This window comes from Homo sapiens, chromosome 10, assembly GCF_000001405.40.
Source record: "Homo sapiens chromosome 10, GRCh38.p14 Primary Assembly".
NCBI lineage: Eukaryota > Metazoa > Chordata > Mammalia > Primates > Hominidae > Homo > Homo sapiens.
In genome coordinates, this window is record NC_000010.11 from 45,116,307 (window position 1) to 45,126,828 (window position 10,522).

The 10,522-nt window shown below is 42.0% G+C and overlaps 1 pseudogene across 1 annotated transcript in view; it reads right to left on the bottom strand.

The window, feature by feature from the left end:
• Nucleotides 1-10,522, bottom strand: part of RSU1P2 (Ras suppressor protein 1 pseudogene 2) — a 55,121-nt pseudogene that overhangs the window by 16,831 nt on the left and 27,768 nt on the right. Inside the window, exon 5 of the transcript NR_024472.1 lies at nucleotides 10,015-10,093. The product of NR_024472.1 is annotated as a Ras suppressor protein 1 pseudogene 2 (transcript). The remainder of the gene's footprint in view (nucleotides 1-10,014; nucleotides 10,094-10,522) is intronic.

Genomic DNA, 10,522 nt, shown 5'->3' on the forward strand with positions numbered 1-10,522 from the left:
ATGAAGAGGGAAACAGAGCAAAAAGGCACAAAAGAGAATTTCTGTACCATAGCAGCCTATAAAAGTGAATATTACGAAGCATATACACTTATAGCTGTCATATAGGATCTTTTAAGTGCAATTGTTTTTTTCTTTCGGTTTTCTTGCATTGCCACCAGAAGAAAGACAGCAACCTCCAAATCCCTTCCTGGGTGACATACATTGAAGCTGTTTAACCCAGTATCTGAACAGCTGTCCTCTTAACATTGCATTATATTAGCTCAATTTTAAATAATGAAATATTCAATCTCCCTAGTTTCTGATTTTGGCCTCTGGAGTAATGTATCTTGAACAATACCACACACACATACAAACATACACACATACATACACATACACACACACACAAATGTTACATCAGATTAGCAACACATCGATATACTGTTATTATATGGAAATAAAAAAGTCAACTCAGTAACATGCTATGAACACTAGTGTGCAGATCAAAGGTGAAAATCAACCACTGGGGACCTGAAAGGTTCCTCCTTCCCTAGCATATATATACTTGAAAATACAAATGTAAAAGCCAAAGGCATCTTTATCTCAAAAGTACAAACTATAAATTGGCAGTAGAAGGACTTTCCATAGGCTGTAATTCATCTATCCCATTTGCTATTCAATCATTCTACAAACATTTGTATGGGCGATAAGCTTGGCCATGGTTCATGTAAACTCTGATACCAAGACTATCCAGGTAACTAAAAACATGAACAGGGACCTGGAGCCCAGTCTGAAAAAGTGTGATATCTCATATCAGTCAGGTTTACTTCCCATCCCATCTGCTTCCTCCAGGGGTGCCCCAGGAGGCCAGAAAACCAACCTGCTTGCCTGCAGTCAGACCTAAACTCAGACCCAAGAGCACTTGTGATCAGAACCAGCACAAAGGTGAGTGTAAAATGCCAAACATACATCTAAAATATTTAAGCAGCTAGCCATTTCAAGGACACCAATTGATAACTCCTAGGGCAACAAAATTAAAAGGACAGGCACATTGCTAATTATAGTTTTGAGTAATCATTTTCAGCTTTCTGAAATGTCTACAGTATCGCTGACCTGATTTCTTTTAGAGTGAATGCTTGGTGAAAGGTAAAAGAAATGTTTTCACTGGAAGAAGGGACTGTGAAGAATACGGATTACTCTGAACTAGGGCACATGGGCAGGGAGCAGTGGTCTAGTGAGCAGTCCCTGGGTGAGCTCCTGAAGTGGCTGTTGATAAAAGAACAGGTTTTCATGGGGTAATCTAGACAGCTGGAAGTTCCTCCAGAACCCTCCCTCTTGGATACCTGCAGGAATTGAAAGGAATCCTACCTGTACAATATGGACACAAATGCACATTCTTAGGTGCACACTCCATGGAACACTTCTGTGGAAATGAATGGTATTCACCTTGTGTAAGCAATTATCAAGAAAATCACCAGGGCCAGGAGTGGTGCCTTATGCCTATAATCCCAGCACTTTGGGAGGCCGAGGCAGGTGGATTACCTGAGGCCAGGAGTTTGAGACTAGCCTGACCAACACGGTGAAACCCCGACTCTACTCAAAATACAAAAATTAGCCGGGCATGGTGGCAGGTGCCTGTAATCCCAGCTACTCGGGAGGCTGAGGCAGGAGAATCACTTGAACCCAGGAGGCAGAGGTGGCAGTGAGCTAAGATCATGCCATTGCACTCCAGTCTGGGTGACAAGAGTGAAACTCTATCTCAAAGGAAAAGAAAATCACCAGGCTGTGTCTTCTAGGTCACTGGATGTCATCTCCTCCCCCCAGATCATAAAGTATATACAGTGCAGCTGCCCACAGACCTCATCCCTCCCCTGTCCACCCTCCAGCTACCACTAAGCCTTCATCTGATTAGTTTGAAGAGTAATAACAAAAGTTAGTGAAATCAGGAGAAAACGATGATCTCAAATTAGCCACAAACCAAGAATAATGCAGCCAGAATTACTGTCATCTTCCCAAAGTTACTCTGCCAGTTGAATTAAATGCTCGTCTAAAGGTATCGCCTTTTTGACAGGATGAGAGATTATTTCACTCTCCTTGCTAAATCAGTCCAATTTAAAACCACAAATTATGCTAAATGTGGTTTAGGGCTTTGTCTTGTGGATGCAAACAATAACCTCATATTCAATTTACAAAACCTCTCCCAGCCTTTTGGTGAGCATGTGAATTTTTTGCTTAAGACTCCATTCAAGCTAGATGAGAAAAAAAATTACACAGCTAATATTCTCCCTAATATACAGAATTTTTTAAACCCCCAGTCATAGTGAAAATCTAAAGAAATTAACATGCAGACCCATCTGGATGGGATGGTATTCACTCTTTGAACCAATACTTAGAGAATGCTGATTAGGTGCACAGCACCATACTTTTTACACATAGCATCTCAATACTTTGGGGATAAAGTAGGAGAGGAATGTTACTTAAGGAAAGTAAGTTACAAAAGATAGGGTATCAAAGTCAATAAACTGAAACAGGCCTAGTGCTTGGAATATAAACTACTCCCAACCAAACTAGTTGTCCAGAAAAAATAACCAGTTAGCAATATGAATTGTGTCATGACTAAATCATATACATATGTGGCAGGAACAATTTTAGCTATTTCAAAAAGGCCACTGCGATATCTTACCAGTCAAAATATTTTATTGGAATTTTCCAAATAGCTATAGGATGCATGAGCAAGAAGCATTTAAAACCTAATAGCGTGCATCAGTATATTTCTTATCATGTCTTTGAAACGTTCCTTTTTCATCAATCTATCCAGCTTCTGACCTATGACCCCAGCTGACCTATGACATCAAAGAAACTGAAGAGCAATGTGGTCCTTGGCCCTACAGTGCTGTGTGTGCCCTTACTCAACTCATAACCTCTCTGGGCCTCTGTAAAATAAGAAGACTGGATTATGACCATTTCCAAGGTCTCTTCCACTTTGTTTTAACATTCTAGGATTCTAAAAGGAGATGGATTATGAAAATCAATGATATGGCTTTAAATAATTCAACAAATGGGGCCCTCAATTAGGAAGCTTAGTCATGTAGAACTTTGCTTTTGACAAAGAATTGAGTATCATTTTCTGCCTAGCCAAAGACGGTTGCTTTAAGTTTGAGACTTCAGTTGCTAGGTTTGGGGGAACAGTCCCAAAGGACTCAGACATTCCCTGGCTCCTCAATGTCACATTTTGCTCTAGCCGCAGGATCACAGGACTGCTGGGGATGCTCTCGTCCCAGAGCATCTGCTGGTGTTTTGGAAAGGTGACAAGGATGTGGTCACATCACCCCAGAGACAAATCTCAAAGTTTCTTCTAGGCTCTGCAGCAGTTCCACCTAACACACCTGGCATGACCTTTTTTCCTTCAAGTTCTCCTAAACTGAAGAACCTGAATGTGATTCAAGAGTTTTGTCCATCTGATGTGCCAGCCCTAGACTTGGCAATTCAGCACCCCTGACTCCTGCAGCACAGTTTCTGGAAGGTTCCACAAGCAGCCCAAAGTGCCTGAAGGGCTCATTAACTTCTCTTTGGCTGGAAGCACCTCCACTTTGCTGGACAGGCTGGAGAAACCACAGTCCATCTGTGCGAAACACTGGCACAGCCCCTTCCTGAGCAACAGCTTTACTCCTAAAAGGACATGTATCTACGGCCATTGGTTATATCTGCAACAGGCATGAGCCACCCGGCACTGCACAGTTGATGCACATTCACAAAATCAACAATCAATCAGCTCAAGAATAGGCTTCCCCCAACCAGCCAGCAGCCCGCAAACTATCTCCCCTCCACACGAAGAATCAAAATCAACTACTGTTATAACAATAGTTTCAATTCTGTTGAATTGAGTAAGGAAAATTCTGTTCTATGATCTAAAATTAATAATTCCACAACCAACAACTTAAAGCATTTTAGGAGTTTACACAATAATAATTAGCAGGGTGTGTTCTGGGGCTGGGCTATCTGATGGACAGCCACTAGCTATATGCAGCTATTTGAATTTAAACCTAGATTAATCAAAAATAAAATGATGAATGCTATTGTTTGGTCACAGCAGCCACATTTAAAGAGCTCAATAGCCACATGTGGTGTCTAGTGGCTTCACTACTGCATGGCAGGGATACTGACCGTTTCATCACCACAGAACGTTCTATTAGACAGCCCTGCTCTATGGCAGTGGGTCTCAAACCACGGAGACATCGGAATCACCAGAGGCCTTGCTAAAACACAGATGGAGGGGTATCCCAGAGTTTCTGATTTAGTAGTAGGTTTGGGGTAAAGCCTGAGAATCTGAATTTCCAGCAACTTCTCAGGGGATGCTGATGTTGCTGTTCTGGGAACCATATTATGGCTCAGAAAACTTTTAATTCATTGGCAGCATCACGATTATCGATCCAACACATATGTCCCTTACCCCATGCAATAATGCGATGAGTATAATAATCAATCTTATCCAAATGAAGACGCCTACTGAGCCTGGGGATTGATGAGAAGTGAAACAAATGATACTCTAGATAGCTAACACGTTCAACGTGGGTGCCACAATCAAACCCTTTCTAGTCAACTTCTGCTTCCCCACACAGGATTTTATGGTAAGATCAGTATTGCTTAAGATGGACAATGTTCCAGAGGAGAAAAGCCTTGAATTCCCTAGCACACTGAATTAAGTCACTTGGTGGCAAATTCATCATGACCAAGGGTGGCCATACAAAGAGATGTCACCTGCTATACTGCTCAGCTTCAAAACACTGAACCTTAACGGCAGGATGCTGGGTGGTAGTGATGGCACAGACAGACCGGCTTGGGTGCAGCTGATTAGGGGGCTTTTTGAGCAAAAGCATCTTGTGGCCCTTGAGGCAAAGAAACAAAGCTGTAAGGAGCGACAGACTCTGGGAGCAGCAGGCACAATGCAAAAACATAAGGACAGGAGGTCTGCTTGGGTGCAGCCCACGGGAGGGTGAGGGGGTCACACTTTGGTCTTTAGAGTCATATGGTTACCAGCAACAGTCAGGTTCTCTTCAGCTCCAGAAGGGCAGCACTAGACCCTGCACCATGATAACGCATACCCACGGCTGCCAGGAAGCCAGAAGCTGCTCCAAACACATGGCACTTTCCATCCACAGCACGGGCATGAAATCTGGCGGTGACCTCCACCCACCATCTCCACCAAACTTCTGGGGAGTTGGGGGCTGCACTACACCCAACTGTTTTTGCAGAAGCACCAAAGGATGTTTTTAGAGCTAGTGATTCCTGAGCTAGGGCTGGCCCAGAGCATGAAAGCCAGGGGACAAAGCCTCTTTGAAAAAAGTGAACTGATGTCTGAACCTCTGCTTCCAGTGATGGATGGTGAATTACAGCAAGGGAATGAAGAGGAGGACTTAGGGCAGGCAATTGCTCACAGCCAGGGCTAGGACAGCAGGTGGCACAGGGGCATGCCCGCCCTTGTGCTGCAATGGAGGCAACATACTGTGCTGTGCCCATTTCCAGGATGCAAAAATGCCACCTACCCTCAGGCCAAAGGGTCCCCAAAGAAACCACATGGAATGAGTCACAGCAAAATGAAGCTGAGTAGCATTGCTTCTAAAAACCTGACATACTGCTATTTTAAAAAAAGGAGGTTTTTGTCTGTTGCCGTAACAAATGAAAATGCCTGGTCAGATGTTCACAATGTCGTATATTTCTACAGCTTTTTAAAATAAAGCATAGAAGGATAGAGGATGGTAGAGGATATTAAAATGAGCTTGTCACTTAGATAACTTAGTATGTTACATTACTACAATTAAGTTACTAGAAAAACCACTAAAAACCTGAGAATAGATGAAAATGAGTGAGATTATTCATTATATATACGGGAGAGGGAAGGACCACTTATGAGAAAATGGTGAAAGTAAACATTTCCTTGCCCCAGCATTTGATGAATATGATACTGAAAAACAAGTGCCCCTCTTTGGCCTGAATGAAGCAAGGGAGAAAAAAAACAAATTAGCAGAAACGTGATGAAATATGACTTGGGGCATCCGTGGTCAAAGTGAAAGCACAGGCTTTTTAATCTCTAGCCATAATAACTGGAGAACATTAGTCCATTCACAGCACAAAGGTGGTGTCTAGACTAATTATAGACATGCCAAGTCTTTCAGCAAATCATAGTTCTCGATGCCATTTTAATGATTTTACATAAAGAAGAATCTTCTCACTCTCGCGTAGGAATAATTAAACTATTCAGCACTTTATATGCAAAAAAGGTCATTTGTAGTTATACTGATTAATTACCTTCAAGTCCTCCTAAGCACTTTATATGCAAAAAAAGGTCATTTGTAGTCATAGTGATTAATTACCTTTGTTTTCTGGCCAAAAACACAAGGTGGATAATGAACTTATTACATATTACCATAAGAGTTTGAAATTCGAAAGTATACTAATGATAACTGGCTTCACAGATTTTACGGAATTTCACCCAAAGCAGCTATTAAAGCAGTGAATTACAGTAGTTCTAGGTTATTTAAAGTTTATGAAACAGTGAAACAAATTCTCATTTAAAAGGTTCTACATGTTCCTCAAGGTAAACATAAAATAGCAAAATATCGAAGCATCTACCCCAAGAAAGGCCAACAAATATTATTAGCTTTATAAATAACAAAGTTCTCCAAATATTATTAGTTTTATAAATAACAAAGGCAATGCTACTTTCAGTTAATAAACAACAAGTATTTACTGAGAACCTGTGCCCCGAAAGCACATGCTCACTCTATGCTATTATGAGCCGCCTCAGGATTCTATAGCCTAAGTTATTTAGTAAACAAAAATGTCCCTGGCTTAACTCACTGCAACACAATGGTCCTACTCTTTCAGCAGCAATGTGAAAATGAATTGCATGAAAATTAGAGAAAAAAGGTATAAGCAAGTAATAAGGTAGATTTTAGTGTATAAAGCCAAACGTGCAAAAATATATGTTCCTGAGCTATAAAAAGGTGTATGCATAACCAAACAAATCTCCTAAAAAACTGACAAGCATAGATTTCTTCTCCTCTGAGCATATAAAAATTAGTTAATTTCTGAATCTTGTGTTAACTTCCAAAGCATCTTCAGGAGGACATATGAACTCTGAATTCTTGCAGGAACACCGCTTCTAAATTGCACTCCAGTTCTGATGCGCTACCCCTCCAGCAAAGCCATACATGAATAAAGAGCTTTAATTGGGGAGCTGGGAGGGAGAAGCAGCGCTGAGAGGAAAGGAAGTGGCATTCAATGGCATTCAGTGGCCTGGGGAGGAAGTGACATCCAGCGAAGGGTAAGAAAAGGAAGGGTAGGAAAAATGCCCAGGAAATTCCAAAACACCGGGAAGAGAGAGAAAGAGAATATGAAAAAAAACTTCAACCCATCAATGGAGAATAACAAGCTCAGTGTTATAAAAGGAGTGATCTAGGCTCTTTTATATGAGTACATGTCTTTATTATGTATAATATATATGAATGTATATCTATATGTAAGCCTCGATTATTAACATTACGAGGTAGACAGTAAGCAAGTCACATTCTATCTTGCACTCTCTTACACGCACACATAAAAAGCATGTTTTGTCATTAGTTTCTGTCTTCTTTTACAATTAAGAATTAATCTAGGCTGGGTGCAGTGGCTCACACTTGTAATCCCAGCACTTTGGGAAGCTGAGATGGGTGGGTTGCTTGAGCCCAGGAGTTTCAGACCAGCCTGGGCAACAGGGCAAAACCCCACCTCTACAAAAAATTAGCTTGGCATGGTGGTGCATGCCTGTAGTCCCAGCTACTCAGGAGCCTAAGGTGGAAAGATCACTTGAACCTGGAGGTTAAGGCTGCAGTGAGCCGAGATTGCACCACTGCACTCCAGCCTGGGCAACAAAGTAAGGCCCTGTCTCAAAAAAAAAAAAAAAAAAAAAAGGAATTAATCCAGCAAGAGGCCAAAACTGGACTGCTTCTTTTCCTACTGGACCTTATCTTTAGGGTCACTGCATGAGGAGGGCAGGAATGGGAGGGAAAGGAAGAGGCCCAGGGCTGGGAAAATCCACCAAATCCACATGGGAGCTTTGATCTTCCCCTTTGAACTAACACAGCTATGGCTTTTAACCTTAGGAAATGTCCCTGTTCTTCTAATGGAATGAGTAAGGATCCAGAGCCACAGGAACACTTTGTCCATGGCGTTCCTAGATTGACCTGATGGGGCATCTCAAGTGCACAAGTGCACACACACATCACTTGCAGAGACAGCAGGGGACATGGTGGAGCAGCCACTTGGAAGCCATGCAGAAAGCTCTGTCGTTCCCTCGTTCTGGTCACTTAACCACTTTACACCTGTTTCCTCCACGTGATATAGAGTGGGGGTTCAACAAATTTGCTCTTTTCCCTTTCATCTCCTGCTGAAGTTATTACATAGGTGTTGTTCTTGATGGTCCCCAGGCTGTGGGGTACCTTGTATTTCTTTCCACACATTGCTGGTTCAGTTGGATGAAAAGGAGGGCTTCACAGAGAAAGATGAGCATTCATCTCAACTTTCTGAAGGATGAGCAAAATTCAGAGAGAGGGGTAGGAACTTAAGATTTTAGAAAAAAACAGGTAACTAGAACAAAAAATATATAGGCAGGGGAAAAGAAGCTAAAGAAATAGCAAAAAATTAGACAAAAGAGGGTTCAGACTGAAAACAGCAAAATGCAAGGTCCATTAGTTTGTTAACTGGTTATCAATTGTATTCAAGTGGTTTTGGCCTATGAGGCTGACTGACGAAGAAAGCGAAAAATGGAAATGGGAAAGGTATTCCATTTAAAAGTATCTGCATGTGTCCACACCATGTTCCATTCAAGCCTGGGAGCTAAAGATTACAAATTCTTATTTAACCAAATGTAAATTTAAGCAGATAAATAAGGTGGCACTTATCAACAATTTTTAAGAAGCCATTAAGAATGAGTTCTGTGATGCATTAAAAATTATCTAAAGTTTTAAACAAATTTCCAAGAAGCATCTCCTTTAAGAAATAGCATCACTAGGCCAAGGCAGATAGATAGCTTGAGGCCAGGAGTTCAAGACCAGCCTGGCCAACATGGTGAAAGCCGTCTCTACCAAAAACAAAAACTAGCTGGGCATGGTGATGCATGCCTGTAGTCCCAGCTACTAGGGAGGCTGAGGCAGAAGAATCACTTGAACCTGGGAGACGGAGGTTGCAGTGAGCCGAAATCATGCCACTGCATTCCAACCTGGATGACAGAGTGAGACCCTGTCTCAAAAAAAAAAAAAAAAATAGCATCACTATGTCCACACTGCGTACAAACATACTAGTGTTATCTTCACCCAACTCTGGAGTTTCTAAATCTGAGCTACGTAGACCTCTAAAAAATTCATGGATGAACACAATGGGATCCATAAGCCTGCTGAAATTAGAACCATCACGTGCACTTCTCTATGGATCAGGGTTGTAGTTTTCACTCTATTATTTAAAAAAGTCAGTGACTTAAGAAAAGTTAAGAAGGCCAGGCACAGTGGCTCACAGTGGCCTGTAATTCCAATACTTTGGGAGGCCGAAGAAGGAGGATCACTTGAGCCCAGGAGATCGAGTCCAGCCTGGGCAAATTAGCCAGGCGTGGTGGTGCACATCCATCTAGGAGGCTTGCTTGAGCCCAGGAGTTTCAGGTTACAGTGGGCTAGGATCATGCCACTGCACTCCAGCCTGGGTGATAAAGACACTATCTCTAAAAAATAAAAACATAAAAAAAGAGAAGAGATGCTCTAGAAGAATGTATGTACCTAAGTATCGCACTTCTTAGTGTATCTCCTCTAACATCCTGTACATACACTCACATGTACACACACACCAAGTTATTTAGGAGAGAGTGCATCAACTGAAAATCTATGTATAATATTTTGCTATTACATCAATTCTGTTTGATAGACATTCTATCATCAATAGCAAAAGAAATCTTTTTCAGGATCAGCCGTGCACATGGGCTAACTAGGAGTTGGAAAGTGACAGACTTACACTCCCCCATCTTATTTTCTCCACAGCCTGCCACCGTTCTGAAGTTCTCACGATTGGGGTGGTTCCATTTAAAAATATACTGTGGAGGAATTAGCATGTTAGCTAGCTGCCACTTAGCACAGTACAGGACCTCAAGAAAAAGGATTCTGGAACAGGTACATTTTGGTTGGTGGGGCCGAGAACAAAGAGAATGGGGGCAAGGGGGTGGCCACAGTCTACAAGCTGAGAATAGATAAGATGCCATCGGGCGGACACTTCTTCAACTTCACCCGCTGGCCTTGGGTTGCACTGGTTCTGGGTCCCTGGGTCAACAGATCCTCCCATGGGACAATCTCAGGAGCTCACTCACTAAAGACAAAAATAGCAACACATGCCCAATTGCCAGTGATTTCTGCTCCTCTCCCTTCTGCCACCCTCCACCCTATTAAATGAAAAGAACATTCCATGCTCATAGATAGGAAGAATCAATATTATTAAAATGGCCATACTTCTCCCCCAGATTTACAGA